We start from the raw sequence: 23823 nt of genomic DNA, 5'->3' as shown, positions 1-23823 counted from the left end.
ACAGGCGTGAGCCACTGCGCCCAGCTGATATGTGCTAGAACTTTCTAATCTGAACATGACATTTAACTTGGCCTTGACTATGGGACTGTTTTCTCCGAAAATCACAATGGAACTACCAGGCCAACACCAAGGCCCTGCTAGTGTTCAGCCTGGAGTCACGTGGTTCTAGGGGTGAGAGTACTGTGATCTTCCGGAAAGTCAGCTTGTGTGACAAAGGGATAAGGCTGTTCCGGACCACTGCCCACAGAACCAGGAGAGGGCTCTGGTGCAGCCTCAGCTGAAGTCACTCTTGGCTGTAGCCAAGAGATGTTCATGGGATGTTCATAGAACAGGAGAGGTAGAAATGGTTATGCCAGTGTGATTCCCTCAAATCCATCACGGCTGAACCCAGATGCAATTGTCTACAGCAAAGCTGAGCTGCAATCAGAGACCTTGAGCTTATCTGGCTGTCTGCTGCCAGCATATTGAACGCAAGGTCAGAGAGACAGAAGATGTCTTCACTAAGCAGTTAATATAATGACTTTAACACAGAAAGTTTCCAGTTACACAGTCAAGAGTGAGTTAGGCACTTTAAGCTACCCAGGACCTCAAATCAGAGCTCTTTCAAACTTGCTTTTGGGGGATAAATCAAGGTTAAGAAAAGTAATTAGGGGAAGACCTCTCATAAAGACCATGGCAGAGGCTCCCCATAACCTGGGCTTCCCCTACCCCCATCACAACCATCAAAGCATAATGTCCAACGTTGTATAAACGTTCACAAAAATGCAGAGATGATGTGTACTAGCTATCTAATACATTGCTGTGTAACAAATGACCCCAAAAATGTAGCAGCCTAAAGCAGTAAACATTTATTATCCACATTTCTATGGGTCAAGAATCCAGGAACAGCTTAGCTGAGTGGTTCTGGCTTGGGTCTCACGGGATTACAGTCAATGTGAGCTGGGTGCAGTCACTTGCAGCTGAGGCTCACCTCCGCGCTCACTTACGTGGCTGTCGGCAGGCCTCAGCTCCTTGCTGTCTGCTGGCCAGAAACATCCGTGTGTGGCCAGTGGGCCTCTCATGGGCTGTGTATCCTCACAACATGGCAGCCGGCTTGCCCAGGAAGAATGGTCCAAGAGAAAGCCCAAGACAGAAACCTAGTCTATTTTTTAATTGCTTCAACAATTTATTCATTCAAGAGATGGAACAAATAAATCCATTTCAGAGAAAATGGACTGAGGGTCAAAACTGGGTACAGGTCAAGGAAAAGGCAGATGTAGCTTACACTACTTTCCTATGTGTATAAAAGAAACTGATCTTTTATAACCTATTCTCAGAGGTGACATACCAACCCTTCATCTATACTCCACTGGCCACAACCAGTGGTATAACACAGGAGACTACACACAAGCCATATGAATACCAGGAGCGATCACTGTCTTGGAGGCTGGCTACTGACGGTCCTGATTATCTGGCTTAATTCCTGAGTTATATATAGGACTGAGTGTGAGTCTTTACCACACACATTCTCAGAGTTCTCAGAGCCTGGGCCTCACTCATTTCTTCTCATTTCCCTTTTAGGTCCCACGATGAAACTGAAACGGCTCACAGTTTTGGAGAAGTACAAAGGTATCATTGACTCCTTTTACCAAGAGCAAAAAATGTAATCAGGGCCTATGCCTGCAGTTTCTATAGAATAGAGGGCAGGCGTTCCGAGCCTCTTCCTGAGCCCCAGGTCTCTTCAGTCTGGGCACAGGCATTTCTGCCAAGTCTGTTAGATCTCCAGGTCAGGGCACAGCACTGGCTCTACATTTACCAGGTCTTACGCCAACAATAGCTGACAATTCCAAGAAGCTTCACGTGTGGGTAGTTTTAATTCAGTTTAAGTATTGCTTTTTGTTCAGGTGACAAATGAGATCAGCTCTCCTTCCAGAACGAAAGGGCTGATAATTTTTGGCCTTAGTTCCAGGTAGATTAAAAAGCTGCTAGCTCACATACAGGACAGCCAGCAGTAGGCTGTGGAGCGGGTAGGAGAGAGATGGCTGATACTGCTCACGTGCGCTGCAGGAAAAGCAATCAGTCACAACTCACCTAGCGACCTGACTTACTCTGGAATCTTGGCGGGCATCGCCGACCCTATTATTCCATTACCAGGCACTCCGCCACCCACATGCCAACTGACTTGATGCTTAATAAAACTGCTGCTGCCTGTTTGATTCTATTTAATGTATAATTTGAATATTAAACCTTTTAACAGAACTGTCAACAAGGACCTGATTTTTTTTGTCAATTGAGCAGGTGGGACCAGTGCAGAGAGTAGTGGGCATTTAACTCACAGGACTGTGCACAGCGGGCATGCGAGTGACCATTAGTGCCCTGGAATAAACAAAGGTGCAGGATGGGGTCAAGTGGCGCATTCTCATAAAAGCAGCCAGCTCTACGTTAGCCTGTCGCCACCAGACCACCCCACTTCCATTCTGAATACGGGAAGCAGCCATTCTCAGTAGCAAGCTGAGCCAAAATGACCGAAGGCATCTGAACAGGAAACAGGTAGAGAAAGCAAACATCTCAGTTTTGGAATTCTTTATTACTTTGAACCCAAGAGCCACTGATAACTGGCACAATCCAATGAAACAGAGGAAGCAGCAGCTTAAACAAAGGAAAATACATTTAAGATTATAAGTCTGGGGGGGCGGTTACAAGCTTAAAAAGTGACCCAGACAGGGATATCATTGCTAAAAAAAAAAAAATCCCCTTGTGACCTGGGTACATTTTGCAAAGCCACAGGTTTGCAATGTTACACAAGGGCCAAAGGAGGCCATGAGTTGTCTTTGGTTGTGGGGACAGAGGGTAACTGTTCATGAAAATAGTGAGTGTCTGAAGATTAAGAAAATCATGCTGCAGCAGAGGAGAAGGGAGAGGAAGACAGGAAGGGAAAGGAGATGCCTGAGGGTCAAAAGCTGAGCCCAAGCCTAAGCCCAAGCTCAAGCTCAAGCCCCAGCATGGCATAATTTTGTGAATTAACTCAGGCTGAGTTGCCTCCAGTCTTTGGAATGTCATCTTATACTGGTACTGCTGAGGCAGAGGGCAGTAATTGGTGCTTTGGGATAGGAGAAGGGGCAGTTGCTGAAATACAAAATTAATAGCATCCCAAGTTCCTCAATTGCAGCCAAAATACATGTGTTCGGGCCTTTCGGCAGTATCGCCCCCAGAACTACCTGCTGTAGTGTGGTCCATTCCCAGACAGCAACATGCAAGAATAAGTTTACAATACACTCAGCCCTTCTGGCTTCAGATCAGGGGCTCAGAGGCTGTGACAACTCATGATGCTGAAAATGTATCCAGTGAAAATGAAGTACTAGCTCTCTGCTTCATTAAAAGCTCTTGGAAAGAATATTAAATCTCAAGACAACAAAATAATTGAACACACAATACATTTGTGTCTTTGTATCCAATATATTACCTTTGTCTTATTAACAAAAATTATATCTCTCATTATATATTTCTTGGATCTGAAGTTTTTATTCACACTCAGTAATTTCTGTAAAGGACAAATCTGTCTCTATTTTCCATATCATTTAGAAATATACCACATTCACTCTTTTTGATGTGAACTTTCCCAGGAAAATTCTCTTGTGCCCATTTAGTTTTAGAAGAGTGTCATTTTGTGCTATTATGTCAATATCCTGTTTTATTTCCATTATGTTTTTCAAAAACCGAAGAAAATAAGGTTTTTCTTAAAAAGTTAGACATTTTCTCTTGTTAATTCTGTATCCTGTTATTTACAGCTGAAGAGAAACTATTTTAACTTAAGTGTAAAATGGTTTAGAATAGCAAATGATACAGTCCACTCAGAGTTTACAAAAAAAACATTTACCAGGTAGACACTTAATAAATAAAACAAGCACTTGGAAAAAGTTCTTTGAAAACAGACCTAGGGACATCCACCTGCATCTTTTGCACAGATTTTGTTAAGAAAAGGCCAGATCTAAAAATGTACTGTCAAGAAACAAGCAAACCAATGCATACATACGTAGGTATTCTAAACAGAGGTTCATGTGGTGTCCATTTAGAGTGACTGATGTAAATGCCAGTTGTAGAAGTGTTAATCTAAATCTTTTACTCGGCGACAGATTTCCTCTGTGAAGTCTGAGCATTTTGCATTGCCTCCCAAATCTTTTGTCAAGCTCTGAGAAAAGGAAAAAGCAAAAATAAAAGATGTATCCGCAAACTAAACTAAACCAAGGAGATTTTAAAGCCCTCAGTGAGATGCCACCTGGGCAAGTTACTCGGCTGCTCTTTCATTTAGTTCCTCATTTCAAAGTGAGGAACCACTCCACCACCATCTACCCAGCCCAGGAGGATCGGGATCCAATCTCATAGTGTATACAACAGCACTCTGCAAAGAATAAGGTGCTCTTGATGCAAAGGGAGGCAGGGAGCTTTACCAAAATTTTCCCTTTGTTCACACAATAGACCCTAACCCAGATTAGTTGGTCATGGATATTTAAATAAAAGCGAATCTAAATAAGAAGTTTCATAAAAATCCTTGGGAAATATGTCTCAGGAATAGACCTGAGACATATTTTGATCTATTTTTGTTTTTATTATTATTTTTTTTTTAGATGGAGTCTCACTCTGTTGCCCAGGCTGGAGTGCAGTGGCACGATCCCAGCTCACCACAACCTCTGCCTCCTGGGTTCAAGCGATTCTCCTGCCTCAGCGTCCTGAATAGCTGGAATTACAAGTGCATGCCACCATACCCAACTAATTTTTGTATCTGATCTATTTTTGGAGGCTGGGACACAAATACGAAAGAAATATTTAAATCATTAACTCTTTTTTTTTTTTTTAAGAGACGGGGTCTCACTATGTGGCCCAGGCTGGTCTTGAACTCAGAGGCTAAGGTGATCCTCCTGCCTCAGCCTATAGCTGCAACTACAGGCATGCACCACCACACCTGCCTAAATCATTAACTCTTAAACCTCCCTCTTTAGGAAAGAAAGCCTCCCATACAACTGATCTGTTCTACCAGCTTATCCTTTCTTTCCTGCATACAGACCCCAATATATTTAATTCTCTTTATCTTTCCATCCTACACAATAAAAGGGCCCACTATGTAATTCAGGCACCTCTCTACTGGGCTGTAGATTATAACTTCCCAAATATAACTTTAAAGAATAAGAAAATCATATGACCTCCAATGTGACTATCAGGCTGTTAAAAACAAGCCTGAATTTCTTGTATTTTGGCCACACGATATAATTTCAAATTACAGAATTTTTTTAAAAGAAGGGACCAACTTTGAAGATATTACGCTAAGTGAAATAAGCCAGACTCAAAGGACAAATACTGTATGATTCCACTTACATGAGGTACCTAGAGTAGTCAAATTCATAGAGACAGGAAGCAGAATGGCAGGTGTCAGAGGATGGGAGGGGGAAGGGAAAGTTACTGTTTAACGGGTGCAGAGTCTCAGTTTGAGAAAATGAAACTGGTCTGGAGATGACTGATGGTGATGGTTACATTACAATGTGAATGTACTTAACATTATTGAACTGTATACCTAAATACGGCTAAAATGGCAAATTTTATGTTATGCATATTTTTCACAATTTTTGTTAAAAAGGACCTCAAATTAGGGATGAGTCTTCAAGTGCATTATTTCCTCTAACTTCGGAATAGCCCGCGACACTTCTTCCACAGGCCACAATTGCTTACCGAGGCGGTGGAGCTTGTTGGGTAAGGCCCAGACTGCGTGTTAATACCAACTTGGGTCATTTAGGAGCTGTAAAACCTTGGACATATTATTTATTCTCTCTGTACCTCAGTTTCCTCATCTATAAAATGGAATTATAGCATCTACTTCAAAGAGTTATAGAAAAACTTTGCTGAGATGATATATAAAGAACTTAAAAGTTGCATAAGTATTCAATTAATATTAGTTATTACTTTTATAAAACTTCTGTATTGCTTTTGTATTATAGATGCACACAGTGTAACATATAAGACTATTGTATTAGAGGTACATCTGCATCTGTATCTGCCACTAGATTCCCAGCTCCTTGAGGCTCAGCATCTTACCCTATTCATCATTTTACTCTTCACACCTTATAAGGTACACTCAACAGACGTTTGTTGTGAAGAGTAAAAAGTTGTCTATAAAAATCAATGAACTTGGCCGGGTGTGGTGGCTCATGCCTGTAATCCCAGCACTTTGGGAGGCTGGGGCGGGAGGATCACTTGAGCTCAGGAGTTCGAGACCAACCTGGCCAGCATGGTGAAACCCCATCTCTACTAAAAATACAAAAATTAGCTGGGTGTGGTGGCACACGCCTGTAATCCCAGCTACTAGGGAGGCTGAGGCAGGAGAACTGCTTGAACCCGGGAGGTGCAGGTTGCAGTGAGCCAAGATTATGACACTGCACCCCAGCCTGGGTGACAGAGCAAGACTCTGTCTCAAAAAAAATCAATGAACTTGGCCAAGGTCACACAGCTAACAATAGGATAATTGGGCGTGCACCTGATGCTGCCTCCCAAACCACTGACCTTTCCACTGTACACTGATGTCTATACATCAGTGCTGCTTAACTTTTTTTGGATGAAATATCTAGATCCTCACCTCAGAAAATGCACACATGTGCACACATACCCTGTTCAATCTGGGACCCACGTTAAGAATCCTTGTTCAACATCAAATGCTTGGGCCCGCCTGAGAACTATTATCTGTCACTGTCCCTTTCACTCAGATAAAACACATGGAAGCAATGCATTTTACCCAGCACAAGTAAATCAAGATTCCTGTTACCTTTCCGTCCTTAATTGTAGCAAAACACGCAGCCTCAATTCTTGCAGCATGGTCAAAAAGTCCCATGTGGCGCAGCATCATCACGGCACTGAGCAGGAGGGCTGTGGGATTCGCCATGTCCTTGCCTGCAATGTCTGGAGCCGTCCCATGAACCTACACATCGGGAAAAGTAGCATCATCAAGGGAGAGACAAAAACTAACAGTCCTCTTCTGGGGAAGCTGGAGTCTTAACCATCTTTCCTCAGCAATACAAAATATGCACTGAAAGCTACTGCGTGCAATTCATCTGATATGGACTGAAGAAATAAAGTCTGGGTTGGGCGTGATAGCTCACACCTGTAATCGCAACACGTTGATAGGCCAAGGCAAGAAGATCACTTGAGGCCAGGAGTTCAAGACCAGCCTGGGCAACATAGTGAGACCCCATTTCTACAAAAAAATTAGCAATTAGCCAGGCATGGTGGTGCCTGACTACAGTGCCAGCTACTTGGGAGGCTGAGGCAGGAGGATTGCTTAAGCCTAGCAGTTCAAGCCTGCAGTGAGCTATGATCACACCAGTGTACTCCAGCCTGGGTGACAGAACAAGGCCCTAGCTCAAAAATAAATAAATAAATAAATAAAGACTTGGAGAAATAAAGAGCTAAAGTAATTTTTTTAAGTATAAAAATATGGACCAACAATCTTTTTCAGTCAATTTTTGGTAAAATATTTTAAGGAAGGAAGGATACATAATAAATACCTGGAGGGAAATGAAGAGATAAACCAAACATATATATATGTTTATATATGGGTGTATATAAAAACAAACATAGGCTGGGTGCAATGGCTCACACCTGTAATCCCAGCAACTTTGGGAGGCCAAGGCGGATGGATCATCTGAGATCAGGAGTTCAAGAACAGCCTGGCCAACATGGTGAAACCCCATCTCTACTAAAATACAAAAATTAGCCAGGTGTGGTGGCTCACACCTGTAATCCCAGCTACTTGAGAGGCTGAGGCAGGAGAATCACTTGAACCTGGGAGGCAGAGGTTGCAGTGAGCCAAGATCGCACCACTGTACTCCAGCGTGGGTGACAGAGCGAGACTCCGTCTCGAGAAAAAAAAAAAGCATCATTTTGTTTTGACAATTTGAAAAACTGGAGTTAAAGCATACTTATACAGATAACTCCTCCTGAGTTCACACGCTGTTCTGACCTGAGTTCTGTTTCAGGTGTCAGGGTCCTTACCGACTCAAAAATTGCAACCCCATTGGCTCCAATGTTGCCACTTGGTGTCACACCGAGACCTCCGATCAATCCTGCACACAAGTCACTAGCGGAAGAAAAGCATTTCAAAGAATGTTTTTAAAAATAAAACATCTCACCTAGCACCCAGATTTTAGTTTTTAATTATCATTCTCCACTAAAAGGAAGTAGCATTCCTTGGATAAATGGCTGATTCCAGGGCAAAGGTTAGGAAAATACAGATGAGCCTCGAGCATCTTACTGTGTCAGAAAGCAAGGCAAGGCTCAAAGAACAAAGGGCCGTGTCTAAAGGACACAGAAGACATGGTGAAGGGACCCCCATCAGCCAAGTTAGGACAACCTATGCATCAATATTCATGATTATGATGATGGATATATCACTGAATAAAACAGAAAACCATGTCCACAGCTGGGCTCAGTGGCTCATGCCTGTAATCCCAGCACTTTGGGAGGCCAAGGTGGGCAGATCACTTGAGGTCAGGAGTTCCAGACCAGCCTGGCCAACATGGCGAAACCCCGTCCCTACTAAAAATACAAAAATTAGCCAGGTGTGGTGGTGTGCACCTGTAATAATACCAACTACTCAGGGGAGGCAGGAGAATCACTCGAACCTGGGAGGTAGAGGTTGCAGTGAGCCGAGATTGTGCCACTGCACTCCAGCCTAGGCGACAGAGCAAGACTCTGCCTCAAAAAAAAAAAAAAAATGAAAATCACCATTTGGCCAACATCTTATGTCTGTGTGTGTCGGGGGGGGAGAGAGAGAGAGAGAGAAGCACAGACAAAGGAGAGGAGGAAGAGGAAGGGAGGGAAAGTGGGAAGGAGTAATAAAGTAAATGTGATAAAATGCTGACATCTGGAGAATGTGGAATCAGGGTGCTGAGTACAAGGGAATTCTTTGTACTATTCTTACAACTTTTCTGTAAGTCTGAAATTATGTCAAAAGTTACCAAAAAATAGTAACAATGACCACCCACCTACCTAGCTATACATAACAAAACCTTAAAATCAATCAATCAATCAAACATTTAAAAACTGGGAAGAGTGACCTAATAATGATTAGGGAGAAAGAGCCCAGCAATGATTTGGCAAATCAATGAAGGAACAAGCCACCCAACATGTAATCATTCATATCACAACCTGAACTGTTAGAATTCAATTCATATGTTACAACAAATACTCTATTTCACAATACTCAATTGAAAATGTTAAGCCATAATTATTTTAGGATGTTTATAAGTAAATCATAGGCTAAAATAAATAGGTTGCAGCCAGACTCACCTAAGGATGTCTCCATACAAATTTGGCATAACAAGAACATCAAATTGGGAAGGATCTTGTACCATCTACAAGGAATACATTTGTGCATTTAGTAATCAAAATCTGCATCCCCACAACACACAGACACCATTCACCATAAAAAGTAGCAGGTAAGTGTGAATATATACTTACATTCAAACATACTGTATCAAGGTACATCTCATTAAATTTAATATCTTTACAGCTTTCTGCAACTTCCCTGCATTTTTGTAGAAAAAGCCCATCTGACATCCGCCTGTATTTAATCAAATAAAAACTGCTGAAAAAAAAGTCTTACAGAAAGAAAAGAATCAAATCAAAGAAGTAAAGTAAGTTCAAGACATTTAAGTTCCAGAAGCCAAGCTACCTGATCCCAATTACAATAAAATTATTTCTTAGGTAGTTAATAAAATATAAGCTGAAAATGTTTTAGGATCCTTCTGAAAGTATAAAAGAGTAAAAATGTAAAATAGTTTGATCATAACAGAGAAGACTATATTTTTATAGTGTTATCTAACAAGAATGAAGAAATACCCACTAATATTATTAAAATTGCTTTAAAAGGTTAACATAGTAATTTAAATAGTTTTACTATTTTGCATGTTCAATGCTTTTCTTAGGTTAGGAAAACTGTTAATATATTCAGAGGACTTTAACAGCCTCTGGATGAGAATTTAAGTTGCTGGAGTAACACATCAGGTATTGTTAGCACTACTTTAAGCCTCCCACTATTCCACTTCTAAAACGTACGCTATGTGGCCTCTGCTGATGGCCACAGCATCTGGGGACCCCGAGGCTCCAATTTCCTTTCCTGATAACCCTCAGTCCTTCCTTGAGCTTCCAGGACCTGAATCACCATCCCCTCCTCATTTGCTCCTGTCATTCGCCCAGGGAGGCGCAGTAAACAGGAGACTCCAGGCCGGGCGCAGAGGCTCATGCCTGTAATCCTAGCACTTTGGGAGCCCAAGGCGAGCGGATCACTTAAGGTCAGGAGTTTGAGACCAGCCTGGCCAACATGGTGAAACCCCATCTCCACTGAAAATACAAAAATTAGCCGGTCATGGTGGCATGTGCCTGTAGTCCCAGTGACTCGGGAAGCTGAGGCAAGAGAATTGCTGGAACCCGGGAGGCGGAGGTTGCAGTGAGCCAAGATCGCGCCACTGCACTCCAGCCTGGGCAACAGAAAGAGACTCCGTCTCAAAAAAAAAAAAAAAAAACAGAGGAGAAAAGAGGAGACTCCGACAGAAGAGAGATGCCGTATCTTTGGATTGTTACAAAGTTCTTTTTCAAAGATATTAGGAATCAAGGAACAAGCTGAAGAGGAGAAAGGGAAGCCCTGTCACTGCTCTCCCACAACAAAGCAAGATGGGGTGCCGGCCCCCGCAAGGAGCTCACATGATGTTGGCTTTGTGCACCGCCGTGACGTTGCTCCGGTGGTTGTTCCGGGCATACTCAAAGGCAAACTCAGCAATGCGCTTGCTCGCCCCCTCGGTGATGAGCTTGATACTCTGCACGACTCCATCAACAATCTGCAAGACAGGAAGTCCCACCTTGCTGGAAAGAGTGTGACAGCAACGCAGTGGGAGACAGAGGGTGGGGAGTAGACAGTAACATTTGTGGCAGGCCTGCACAGTGCCAGCTAGCATGACTAATCACACACACTGCTACGACAATGGGGTTCATGTTAACTCCAGCCCTAAGAGGTAAGTATTATGAGCCCCACTGCACAGATGAAGAAAACTGAGATGCAGAGACAGTCATCTGCGGAAGAGCGCACCTGTGAAGTGGGGGATTCAAAATTCAGAGGGCATATTCCCAAGCTTGTGACGCGAACCACCATGCCTTACATTTGTTTGAGTACTGTCAGCCAGACACCCAGCACCAAGACAAACACCCACAACTCCTCACAGAGATAAAGCAGATCTGTCTCTGGGGTCCCAGATGCACAGAAAGCAGTCCAAGCAGGAATAAAAAAGAATCTGGAGTGAACATACCACATGCTCAATTCCACTGTATTCTCCTTCTGTGTTCTCTCGAATGGTCACAATATTTACATCGGTGTAAGGGGTTTTATAGCCTTCGATAGAGACACATGGTCGGACATTCGCGTAAAGGTCAAATGTTTTGCGCAGCAGTAAATTCATAGATGGGTGACCGGCTGCTATTGGGGTCTTCAAAGGGCCTGTTATACAGAAGAAAACCCAGATGACACTAGAAGGAATTCTGGTCTCACGTGTGACCTACTAACCCACCTCGGCTACCTTGTGAAATGTGTTCTGCCTCTAGTTCACTCTCTACCTGAGATTCAAATGAAGGAGGAACACTTCCTCACGGGAGCTTTCTGGAACATTAACTGCGTTTCTTATCTTCAGAACTTCCTGAGGATCAAGCATTGTAATCATGTGCTTGACATGATATAATCCTTATCATCACCCCGTACAACAGCAACTCTGTTACTGTCATTTAAAAATGACGAAAAAAGAAAAAATAAGAATAAAAAATTTGCCCAAGCCTTCTAGCCAGTAAGTAGCAGAGATGAGATTCAATGTTGGTTCTGTCTGTGGCTTTAAAGCCTATGCTTGCTCTGGCCTACAGTCTCAGGCCTGTAATCCCAACACTTTGGGAGGCCAAGGCAGGCGGATCGCTTGAGGTCAGGAGTCCAAGACCAGCCTGGCCAACATGGGGAAACCCTGTCTCTACTAAAAATACAAAAATTAGCTGGGCGTTGTGGTGTGTGCCTGTAATCCCAGCTACTTAGGAGGCTGAGGCAGGAGAATAGCTTGAATCCAGAAGGCGGAGGTTGTAGTGAGCCGAGATCACGGCACTGCACTCCAGCCTGGGCAACAGAGCGAGACTCTCAAAAAATATAAAAATAAAGCCTATGCTGAATTTAAATCTACCACATGCTAGTATTTTTGAATTATGGCCTTAAACATGTATTAATTAAAATAATAATAAAAATGTAGGCCAGGCACAGTGGCTAAGTCAGGCCTGTAATCCCAGCACTTTGGGAGGCAGAGGCAGAAGGATTGCTTGAGCTTAGGTATTCCAGATCAGCCTGGGAAACATAGTGAGACCCCATCTCTACAAAAAACTTTTTAAAAAATTAGTTGGGCATGGTGGCACACCTGTAGTCCTAGCCACTCGGGCGGCTGAGGTGGGAGGACTGCTTGAGCTCAGGAGGTCAAGGCTGCAGTGAGCTGTGATCACACCACTGCACTCCAGCCTGGGCAACAGAGCGAGACTCTGTCACAAAAAAATTAAGTAAATAAATAAATATACAAATGTAAAAATTAAGCAAAAGATATATATAGTTGAAGATTAAATAGAGATACTGTTATTTGGCATCATCCAGTAATACTTTAATGTTTTTTACTGGGGGAAAAAAATGTCCCAAATGAATAAAACATCTTACTATGAGTAGTTACTTCATAAAAGAATGGCGTTACCTTCACAGATGGCCAGGCCTTATTCAGTTTAAATGCATAAATTTTCAAAACTAAGTAACCCCTGTAGCGGAAATCTGTAAAAACCCCCGTCTCTACTTCAGTGCTACCTTTCAAGCCCATCTTGTTCTTATCCATGGACTCTTTAGCCTCTGAAGGGATCATCCACTTTCCTCCAGGTCCTTGAATGGCAGTGACGTTCCGCTCCTCCCACTGAATAGGTGCCTAGATGCCACATCACAGAGCACAGTGAGCTGGAGAGACTTAAAGGAAACTGGCATTCATACTGCAATGATGAACAAACTTTTTCAACTTCGTTTTTGAGATAGAGTCCCGCTCTGTCGCCTAGGCTAGAGTGCAGCGGCACAATCTTGGCTCACTATAACCTCCGCCTCCCAGGTTCCAGCGATTCTCATGCCTCAGCCTCCTGAGTAGCTGGGATTACAGGCGCCCACCACCACACCCAGCTAATTTTTTTGTATTTTTTTTGTAGAGACAGGGTCTCACCATATTGGCCAGGCTGGTCTCAAACTACTGACCTCAGGTGATCTGCCCACTTCGGCCTCCCAAAGTGCTGGGATTACAGACGTGAGCTACCGGGCCCAGCCCTTTTTCAACTTTGGATGTGACTGCTAAAAACAGTAAAGGTCCAGAAGGTTCCTGGCATGCAAGAAGAGATGTCATTCTCTAGCAGGCCCAGAGGGATTCTCTACATTATCTGTGCCCAGTCATCACTCCCAGCTACCACCTGCCCACTTATTTCTTTTCACAAGGGCTCTTAACAGTGGCTATAGTTAGAATATCATAAGTAGCAGAGGAATATGGTTCACAGAAACATCATATAGTACTGATACATGGATGAAACTTAAAAACATCATGCTAAGTGAAAGAAGCCAATCATAAAAGACCATATATTATAAGATTCTATTTATATGAAATGTCCCAAATAGGCAAATCTACAGATACAGAAAGTAGATGAGTGGTTGGCTGCCTAGGGTGGGGGAAGAAAAAGGAGGAGGGGGTAGGGAGGGAGAGAGACGAAATGGGGAGCGACTGCATAGGGTATGGGGTTTCTTTTTCGGTGAGGAAAATGGTCCAAAATTAGATTGTGGTGATGGTTGCATAACTCTGTGAATGTACTAAAAACCACTGGATTGAAAGGTACATTTTAAAAGGATGAATTAGGCCCAGTGTGGTGGCTCACGCCTGTAATCCCTGCACTTTGGGAAGCCAAGGTGGGTGGATCACCTGAGGTCAGGAGTTCCAGCCCAGCCTAGCCAACATGGTGAAACCCCGCCTCTACTAAAAATACAAAAATCAGCTGGGCGTGGTGGCAGGCACCTGTAATCCCAGCTGCTCGGGAAGCTGAGGCAGAAGAATAGCTTGAACCTGGGAGACGGAGGTTGCAGTGAGCCAAGATCATGCCATTGCACTCCAGCCTGTGCAACAAGAGCGAAACAATGTCTCAAAACAAATGAAACATAAAAATAAAAAATAAAGGATGAATGATATCTCCATAAAGCTGTTTTTAAAAAACAATATTACATTGTTTAAAATATATATATAGGCCAGGCCCGGTGCAGAGGCCAAGGTGGGCAGATCACCTGAGGTCAGGAGTTCGAGACCAGCCTGACCAATATGATGAAACCCTGTCTCTACTAAAAATAAAAAAATTAGCCAGGCGTGGTGGCATGTGCCTGTAATCCCAGCTACTTGGGAGGCTGAGACAGGAGAATCGCTTGAACCCGGGAGGCAGAGGTTGCAGTGAGCCGAGATTGCTCCATCGCACTTCAGCCTGGGCAACAAGAGCAAAACTCTGTCTCAAAAAAAAAAAAAAAAAAAAAAAAAAAAAATATATATATATATATGTATGTATGTATTGCATAACCTATGAATGTACCAGTTGGAGGTATAAACAAGCATCCCTTTCTCTCTACCTACATCCTTCATGTGTATACAGCTAGCACACTGAACATGTCCTAGGACACGAGCTCAGACAGACACGGTGCTGTTCACAAGCAGCTTACAGCTGAATCCACTTACAGAATTTTTAAATTATCTACCTGTATCAAAGGCTCAGCTGTTAGAAGTAATAACATTCCATTCTTGATAACACATCAGAAATTTTATTTTAAAGAGATTATTTCAAAAGCGCCTGTATAGATTTTGGAAACAGCAATTCTAGTCTTATTTTATTTTATTTTTTGCAAAAAGGTGGGTGATTTGGCAGGGCTTAAAAGATCTTAAACCCAAGCAGGACTTAAAGATCCACAAATACTGCAGTACTACTTTGATTACTTTACATATAACTGATGCCAATGCAGGAGTTTAAACTATCAACAACAGGAGCAGCCAGCCAGGTGCGGTGGCTCACGCCTATAATCCAAGCACTTTGGGAGGTGAAGGTGGGAGGATCGCTTGAGCCCCAGAGTTCAAGACCAGCCTGGGAATAGAGCGAGACCTCATCTCTAAATTTAAAAAAAAAAAAAAAAGAAAGAAAGAAATAATGGCAGTAGCAAACACTGAGACACACACTGTTAAAGTGACAATCGGTGGAGATTAACAACAGACCTGACTAAATTTCATAGAAATGGGTACAATGCATCCTAAAAGTTCACAGAATCCAACTGGCTAAGAAAACTTTTCAGTGAGTCATCATTAAATGTATTTTTTAAGCCCACTTACTTTGGCAGCATCAAAAATCTTCATAACTGCAGCTGAAATTTCTGGGCCAATACCATCTCCTGGAATTAAAGTTACTGTCTGAACCTGAACATAAGAAATCATCAAAGAAGACAGTAAGAATTTTTGTTTTTGAAGGCTTAAAAAAGAATATTTTGACAGAGAAATCCACTTTATGAGATGTCTCAGGAAGATTCAAATGCTGTTAAGAAAACAAACATACCTCCCCGGGGGTCATCAAAGGGGAGGCAGGAATCAACAGAGGAGAGACTCTGCAATCCTACTCTTTACCTGAGTTCAGAGGTTTTAAAAAGAACCAAATGATACTCTTTACATAAAACGAAAATAAATTAAACTACCAAGTAGATTTCCTAATTGATATTTCTTTTCAGACAAGCTGCAAAGAGACCAATTAATTCAAATCTTTTAAACCAAAGACAACAACAACAAAAAATTAACAATGTTCTCTCACTAAAATTTAGACGGTTTCTCATGAAGGCAAGTGTTTTCCTTTCCTTTCCATTGTGATCCTGGAAAGCTTCTCATGCAACTTCTTCAGTCTTGCAAAACATTTTCAGACACATTTCCAAAATATTACTGAGGTCTGTTTTGGTACTCAGGGAAAATCAGACTTTTTATCAAGAGAGCTTCCATTTTTTTCTTAGTTCCTCTATAAAACTGTCTGCTTAAATCTAAGAGTAATCTACATAAGCTTGGCAAAGTTGATCTGCAACCAAAAAGAATAGTATATGTCATCATACCTGCAAAGCCTGAGTCACACTTAGAATGACAATTATTGTTTTTATAATGTAACAGCAATGATTTATTCTAAGGCTTCAGGCAAAACGAAGCCAGCATTTCAAATGCAGAAATAAAAATATGTAAGGGAGAAGATCAGCACCTCTTTTTCCATTTGGGAACCACATATTTTATTATCTTGGGACTTTACCCCACCTAGGGGCTTGGCTTTTTTTCAGTTCTAGTTGCTTGAACTGCATTTTTAAAAAGTCACTAATTCAAGTTTCCTTGGTCCTTTGCCTTCCAATGATGTCTGCCCAGATACGTGGACTAATTATTTCTGATTAGTTTCTGTACAACTGAAGAAACATTTTTATTTTTTTCATTTTTCTAATTTTCAATTTTTATTTTTTAGAGATGAGGACTCACTACATTGCCAGGCAGGAGCACAGTGGCTACTCACAGGTGTGATCACAGCTCACTGCAGCCTCGAACTCCTGGCCTTAAGCAAATCTCCCACCTCAGTCTTAGCCAGGGCTAAGGCTCATACCAGTTTTCTCGGGTTGAAGAAGTCTTTAAAAAAATTAATACATCCTCTTATTTCTTCAAAAATAACCTCCTCCATCAAGCTAATTTTTTTTTCAAATAAATAGCCTGAAAATTAAATAATAGCAGAGAGCAATGATCATCTTATTAGCTTTCAGAATGCGTTTGAAATGCTAGCATGGCTATCCTTGAGCTTGAAGTGCAAGCCCCATCCTGCATTTTTGGCATAAGCAGAGCCAAAAGAACGCTTTGGCTACTTCTTCCTGTTCTCCCAACATGTAATAATAAATGTCATCCAGTCACCAGAAAATCTGCTTTTCTTCCACAATACAGAAAGTAAATGGAGGAAAAAATGTACTATGGTCTTATAAATCTTTCACGGCATAGATGTTATATGGGAGTATAGGAATTATGAAATCCAAATCAGATTCCATAAAAGGCGGGGCGGGGATCAAAACAAATAGGAAGTCACTGACCCACAGTCTTAGAATGTTCCAAAAATGTGGTATCAGCTTTTAAAGCACAGAATTCTGATGCTGGGAATTCTAAAAGCAGCAGATTTAATGAACAATAGATGATCTACTACTGTGATAGTCTACAAAGCCTATATAAGGCAAGTATAAGCCTACAAGGCTTATAGATGTTCGAGGCATTCCTAATTGGCACTCAATCTACTGGGTTTAGGGAAGCCCATAAAATAAAAATGCAAAGCAGGTTTTGAAGCTTCTCAACAATTTTCTCTCAACTTGTACTAGTTTTGAAAAAAGCTGTCTCACCAAAATGAGATTGTGAAATAAAATAACAGGCTCAAGGGTACTTTCTATTTTTAACAAGGCTCCCTCAAGATATTAATGTGACAAACTTACATAGCCAGCTGTAAGATAATTCTTTCAAATGCGCAAGTAACCTAACAGATTTGTGCATGTCAGCCAGTAATTTCAACATACATTATAAATATGGCCAATTTTCCCAAATTCTAAATGAATGGAGATAAAATGCTATATAATAAATATGTTAGAGCATCTTTCTTGAGAAACTTCTAAAAGGAAAAAATAAAAGACATAATTATACTCACACCACCAGTAAAACCTCTGGTCACCTGTTTTGGGTTGTGGAATGCCCCCAGCAGCCGAGAGACCTATATTAATATCAACAGAGAAATATCACACACAGAATTAAACCACATACAGTAAACAAGAGCGAGGAAGTCCTGATGGATGGTAATGCTGCAACTTGGCACAGATATATTCAGTAGCTTCCCAGGAATACAAATCTCATGTATTAGCTCAATGTGGCAAGCTATCTCAGATTTGAAAGCCTAAATACTCAGATTTTTACTTTAGATTGAGTACTGTATATTTTCAAAGTCAATTTAACGAATATAAGTTGTCAAATAAAAGATGTTGAAGGTAGAATAAAACTACTTTTTCAGCTCAACATACAGATTCTTCTCAGATGAGTGGATCATTTTGTGCCAACATTCTTGACCATTCGGTCAATTTAGGGGTAACATATATTCTAAGAAAATTACCATTAATTTTAGAGCCAGGATGTTCCTCATGAAATCCAGAGCACAACTCACTTATTTCTTGTTGTTGTTTTAGGCTTTTTGAGATGGGGTCTCCCTAGGTTGCCCAGGATGGAGTGCAGTGACTATTCAAAGGCACAATCATAACTCACTGCAGTCTCCAACTCCTGGGCTCAAGTGACCCTCTTGCCTCAGCCTCCTGAGTAGGTGGGATTACAGGTGTGCACCACGACACCTGGCAACTTGCTTATTTCATAAGCGGAGATGCTGGTCCCAAAGAAAAGCATTTGCCTAAGGTCACACAGCGAATAATTGGCAAAATGGAAACCCACATACAGGTCTTCTGACTCCTGGTCCAGTGCTCCTTCAATTATACATTATATCTATTCTGTGAATATTAAGAAATTACACTTTATAGTAAAATCTAAGAAAGTTTATTTAATACCATCTGATGCCCATGCCATACAGAATAAAGATTTTAAATAAATTACTGCTTCTTCTGATAATATAGGTAATGTGGTCATTACTGTCAGTTTGCTGGGACTAGGAAAAGATACAAAATATAAAATAAAAGTTACCCAGTAATCCCACCACACCAAGATATTACCACTGGTACGTGTTTTTTTTTTTTTTTCTCTCTCCAATTAACATCATATGCCAGAAATATAAATTTTAAAGGTTTATTATAAACTTTAATAACTTAGTCCTTGAGAACTGGTACAAAGTCATACTACATTATTATAAACAATATAAAAAAAGAAACTGGGTACATAGACCAAAGGTATTAAAATGCATTAAATTTTTTTTTTTTTGAGACAGAGTTTCACTCTTGTTGCCCAGGCTGGAGTGCAATGGTGCAATCTCGGCTCACTGCAACCACCACCTCCTGGGTTTGCCTCAGCCTCCTGAAAGTAGCTGGGATTACAGGGATGCACCACCATGCCCGGCTAATCTTGTTGTATTTTTAGTAGAGACAGGGTTTCTCCATGTTGGCCCGGCTGGTCTCAAACTCCTGACCTCAGGTGATCCACCTGCCTTGGACACCCAAAGTGCTGGGATTACAGGCATGAGCCACCACACCCGGCTGCATTAAATTTTTTAAAAAGTAACTTTTTCTCCTGCTAGATACATGAGCAAAGACACATTTGTTATATCCTATCTTGATGTTTTTTTCTGGGGTCTGAACCTTTGCTGAAATATTTATTGGTAACAACCAACAGCCAAGAAAGGTATGAATGAATTTTATTCTCTAATCTTCTGGTATCTATAGTCATGACTCTGCATTGAAAATAAGACTGGGCCAAATCCAAAAGAATGCCAAAACCATTGGCCAAAATGTTAATCCTAGGGCATGATTCATCCACCAGCGAGTGGGCTATTGGAAGGGAGGCCATTTAAAGGCTACTTTGTGACAAGAAAATTGACATGTGTCCTTTCTCCTCTCCCTGAACAAAAAAGAAGGAAAAGACATTCACACAAAACTCATGTCCTTGTGACAGAAGACCCAACCAACCAGGCTGTGCAACAAAGTGAGACCCTGTCTCTACAAAATTAGCCAGGTATGGTGGTGCACACCAATGGTCTCAGCTACATGGGAGGCTAAGTCGGCTTGAGCTCAGGACTGCTTGAGCCCAGGAGCTTGAGGCTTCTGTGAGCTATGATTATGCCACTGCACTCCAGCCTAGGTAATGGACAAAAAAAAGAAAAAAAGAAAGAAAGAATGAAAAAGACCCGACTCAAACAACTGATTTTAAAATGTAAACCCATCCTACCTGCATATGCTGGGGGCAGCAATGTAAACCCAGGAGTGTAAGGATTTGTGTTTTGTTCACTGTTGTATCTAGTGTCTAGAACAGTCCCTGGCTCATAGAAGGTATTCAATAATTTAAAAAAAAACAAAACAACAATCAAACAAAACTGAGTCCAGCCTCAGTCACATCTCTATCTGAAGAGTTTCCAAGCCAACAAGTAGCCTTAATACTTGCAATGATCTTCTTTAAGGACCAGTCTTTTCCATGTTTGTCATCTCTCTTGCATGATCTTAGAATAAAGCAGTACTGCACCTAAGTCATCACAATGACCCAGAACTTTAAGTAAAATAAAATTTTCCAAAGCACCATTTAAAGGTTACTTCGTGACAAGCAGAGCATAAAAGTGACATGAGGCCGGATGCGGTGGCTCACGCCTGTAATCCCAGCACTTTGGGAGGCTGAGGCAGGCAAATCACCTGAGGTCAGGAGTTCAAGACCAGCCTGACTAACATGGAGAAACCCTGTCTCTACTAAAAATACAAAATTAGCCAGGCGTGGTGGCACATGCCTGTAATCCCAGCTATTCAGGAGGCTGAGGGAGGAGAATCACTTGAACCCAGGAGGCAGAGGTTGCGGTGAGCCAAGATCGCGCCATTGCACTCTAGCCTGGGTGACAAGAGCAAAACTCCATCTCAAAAAAAAAAAAAAAAAAAAGGCCGGGCGCAGTGCCTCACGCTTGTAATCCCAGCACTTTGGGAGGCTGAGGCCGGTGGATCACCTGAGGTCAGGGTTCAAGACCAGCCTGGCCAACATGGTGAAACCCTGTCTCTAATAAAAATACAAAAATCAGCTGGGTGTGATGGTGGGTGCCTGTAATCCCAGCTACTTGGGAGGCTCAGGCAGGAGAATCGCTTGAACCCAGGAGGTGGAGGTTGCAGTGAGCCAAGATCTCACCATTCCACTCCAGCCTGGGCAACAGGAGCAAAACTCTGTCTCAAAAAAAAAAAAAAAAAAAAAAAAAATTGACATGAGTCCTTTCTCCTCTCCCAGCCCAAAAAAGAGGGAAAAGACATTCACACAAAACTAGCTTATGTCTCTGTGACAGAAGACCTGACCAATCAGCCTAGACAACAGAGTGAGACCCTACCTCTACAAAAAAAATTTTAAATGTTAGCCAGGTATGGTGGCACACACCAGTAGTCCCAGCTTCATGGAAGGCTGAGATGGCAGGACTTCTACTTTATAGAATACTCATATGCATATATATATATATATCTCACATCATTTTATTTATATAAAACCTGTAGAGATAGGCATTATTGGCACTTTTCAGATGAGGAAACTGAGGCCAGGTTCATGAAGCCTGGACCAAAACCCTGAACTTTGGACTTCAGGTCGTGGGCCATCTTAATCCACAACTCATTTCCTTTTTAACTTAAAAACATGTAAATAGTGTTGTACATGGGTTCTGAGATGGGTTTTAAAAAAAAAATCTTTTTTTTTTTTGAGACAGAGTCTTGCTGTTACCCAGGTAGGAGCATGATCTCCTCTCACCGCAGCCTCCACCTCCTGGGTTCAAGTGACTCTCCTGCCTCAGCCTCCCGAGTAGCTGGGATTACAGGCGTGCGCCACCACGCCCAGCAAATTTTTGTATTTTTAGTAGAGATGGGGTTTCGCCATGTTGGCCAGGCTGGTCTTGAACTCCCGACCTCAAGTGATCCGCCCACTTTGGCCTCCCAAAGTGCTAGAATTACAGGCATGAGCCACCATGCCTGGCCACAACCTGAAATGGAAACTCAACAGAGGAACTGTCCTGATTGAAACCGGCATCCAGCTCAGCACCTCCACCATCCTGGGGTCAGCCTCTGAGCCACCTTCTGCTCCAATCCCTAAAGTGAGAAGCTGGCCCAGAAGTCAAATGACTCTGCCAAAGGTCACACAGGGAGTGCATGTCAGAGAACCTCATCTTCTGACTCCACAACCCAACACTTTCTGAATACCTACTATGAGGGTTTTTTCATGCAGATCACACTAAAGGCAAAACAGATTTACCAGCACAATCATTATCAAGTGTTGCTTTAGTGCCTCACTGTGAAGGCAAATGTACCTACCAAAGATGAATTGGGTGTTAAATGTAAGTTCAGAGATTAAAGGACTGAGTTCAGTTTTCACAGTGACACAGAAGTTGCTTTACTTTTAGGAGCAAATGTGACATAAGAGTTATCATCACAAGCAAATCTGGGTCTGAAGAGGGTGACAAAGTAGAATCTAGTTATTGAACAAAAAAACCAGTTAATGATGCCCATGAAAACCACTGTCTGTTGGAGACAGATAAACATATTGATAAGAAAGCTTCAGATTTTTGTTTTCCTTCTGTACATACCAAGTGCTTTCACATACATTATTTTATTTAATACTCAAACAATTCTGTGATGTAAGTATAGATATTCACAGATGGGCATATTAAGGCTTAGAGATGTTTAGTAATTTGCTTAGGGTCACACAGCCAATCAGTGGCATTGCTAGGATTTAAATCTGAGACTCCTAAATTCCAGTACAGAGATCTTTTCCTTAAATAACAGTGCATCTCTGGACCTCTCTTTAAACCGAAAAAATGGGAGAAAAGTAGTATCAAACTTACAGAAAAACGTTAAATTGTTTATAGATTTCTAGGGGACCACCCTTTCATAGCAACAGGAGACTTGAGGCCTGATGGCCTGTACCATCATTTGCTATGTGACCTTGGGAAATGGGAACCAAGACACCTAGGTTCCTCTCCCTGCTCTGACACCGACCTCCTGTGTGACCTTGAGCAAATTCTTCTTCAGGCACAGGTTAGTTCCACTGAGAAGCTACGGAACTGCATAGATGATCTGAAACCCTTTCCAGCTCTGGCATCTGAGCTGTCAAGGAGAGCTAAAGCGCTCCAGATTGCAGGATTCCCACCAATGAAAGGTAAAAGGAAGGCTCTGCTGGTCTCTCTCTCCGAAGGTTCAGACGGTAATTCCGAGGTGTAAGATGCCCTATCCTATGAAGGGGAAATAGCTACAAGAGCACTAGAGGTCTGACTGGGAAGAGCGCCAAAGGGAAAACAATCTGATAGGGAAAAGGGCCCCCGGATTCTCTCACCTGGGAAAACCTCCCAAGCTCAACGCCAGTGCCCGTGGCACCTGCGGTTCCCCGGCCAAGGGCCGCGCAGACAGCGGATGAGAGGTGTGGGCAGTGCTGAGGGGATCAGTCCCGCAGCAGGGCCGCAGCCGGGGAAGCGGCCCGGATGGCGGAGCCGGGACAGAGGCTCCCGTGACCTTCCCGGGCTCGGCGCGAAGCCTGGGCTCTGGCCTGGGCGGATGCGGGTGACGGCAGCCGGGTCTCGGCAGGAGCAGGGCCGGCGCCCCCCCGCCTTGACCTTGACGCCGTCCCCGCCTCTGCGCTGCTGACCCGGCCCGGGGCGGCCCATACACTGCGAGCCGGCCACGGAGCGCGGGGCACGGGCGACCAGGACCGGCTCCCAAGCTGTCCCCGCGGGCAGCCACCGCCTCCCTGTCTGGCCCACGCGCCCGCCCACACCCGGCACGCGACCGGCTCTCCTGCCAGCCCTCGCGGCCTGCCTGCCTGCCACACGCCGGCCTGCCAGCGCTCACCTTAGAGATCCACGCGGGCCCAGCCATCGCTTCCCCTCCTGGCTCCGCAGCAACAGCCGCAGCGGCAGTGCGCAAGCGCCCACCCCACGCTCGGAGCCCGCCCCTGCACGGCCACGCCCCCTGAACGCCCCGCCCCCTAGACCGCCTCAGGATTGCTTCGCGCT

General features: G+C 42.9%; 2 protein-coding genes across 11 annotated transcripts in view, besides 2 other annotated features; one reads left to right on the top strand and one right to left on the bottom strand.

The window, feature by feature from the left end:
* ACSBG1 (acyl-CoA synthetase bubblegum family member 1) overlaps positions 1-5622 on the top strand; it is a 67098-nt gene extending 61476 nt beyond the window's left edge. For 4 of the 6 annotated variants that reach the window (NM_001199377.2, NM_015162.5, XM_011521390.4 and 1 more), the window contains one exon: positions 1561-5622. In NM_001199377.2, the coding sequence (NP_001186306.1) occupies positions 1561-1646 (86 nt within the window). In that variant the 3' untranslated portion in view covers positions 1647-5622. The remainder of the gene's footprint in view (positions 1-1560) is intronic. The other 2 variants (XM_017022025.3, XM_011521391.3) reach the window with 1 other exon arrangement.
* Positions 1145-23728, bottom strand: IDH3A (isocitrate dehydrogenase (NAD(+)) 3 catalytic subunit alpha). Of its 5 annotated transcripts, none has more exons than XM_047432429.1 (12): positions 23148-23728; positions 17815-17877; positions 15928-16182; positions 15459-15542; positions 12884-12998; positions 11322-11509; positions 10723-10856; positions 9481-9583; positions 9310-9374; positions 8014-8098; positions 6788-6940; positions 1145-4168 (listed from the first exon to the last, which is right to left on the bottom strand). In XM_047432429.1, exons 4-12 carry the CDS (start codon positions 15480-15482, stop codon positions 4085-4087), a joined length of 951 nt encoding a protein of 316 aa, XP_047288385.1. In that variant the 5' UTR covers positions 15483-15542; positions 15928-16182; positions 17815-17877; positions 23148-23728; the 3' UTR covers positions 1145-4084. The 5 variants fall into 5 exon arrangements, with proteins under 5 accessions (XP_047288385.1, XP_024305679.1, XP_047288384.1 ...); XM_024449911.2 differs by having other exon boundaries at positions 23660-23728; XM_047432428.1 differs by lacking the exon at positions 15928-16182.
* Positions 5259-5558: an enhancer, noted in NCBI's record as "active region_9911". NCBI's record gives its function as "activates an Ori minimal core promoter by ATAC-STARR-seq in GM12878 lymphoblastoid cells {active_cell/tissue: GM12878}" and the evidence as "EXISTENCE:reporter gene assay evidence [ECO:0000049][PMID:35858748]".
* Positions 23189-23768: a silencer, noted in NCBI's record as "silent region_6706". NCBI's record gives its function as "represses an Ori minimal core promoter by ATAC-STARR-seq in GM12878 lymphoblastoid cells {active_cell/tissue: GM12878}" and the evidence as "EXISTENCE:reporter gene assay evidence [ECO:0000049][PMID:35858748]".

This window comes from Homo sapiens, chromosome 15, assembly GCF_000001405.40.
Source record: "Homo sapiens chromosome 15, GRCh38.p14 Primary Assembly".
Lineage (NCBI taxonomy): Eukaryota > Metazoa > Chordata > Mammalia > Primates > Hominidae > Homo > Homo sapiens.
The sequence above is the reverse complement of the archived record's forward strand: the minus strand, read 5'-3'. Positions and strand labels throughout refer to the sequence as shown.

Excerpts from the sequence above, each read along its gene's own strand:
- IDH3A (NM_005530.3), bottom strand. The coding sequence starts at position 23,686 with ATGGCTGGGCCCGCGTGGATCTCTAAG. Across the intron at positions 9,375-9,480 it reads TTGATACAGTATGTTTGAAT|ATGGTACAAGATCCTTCCCA; the intron begins GTAAGTATATAT and ends TATTCCTTGTAG. Across the intron at positions 4,169-6,787 it reads CTACAATTAAGGACGGAAAG|AGCTTGACAAAAGATTTGGG; the intron begins GTAACAGGAATC and ends TCCTTTTCTCAG.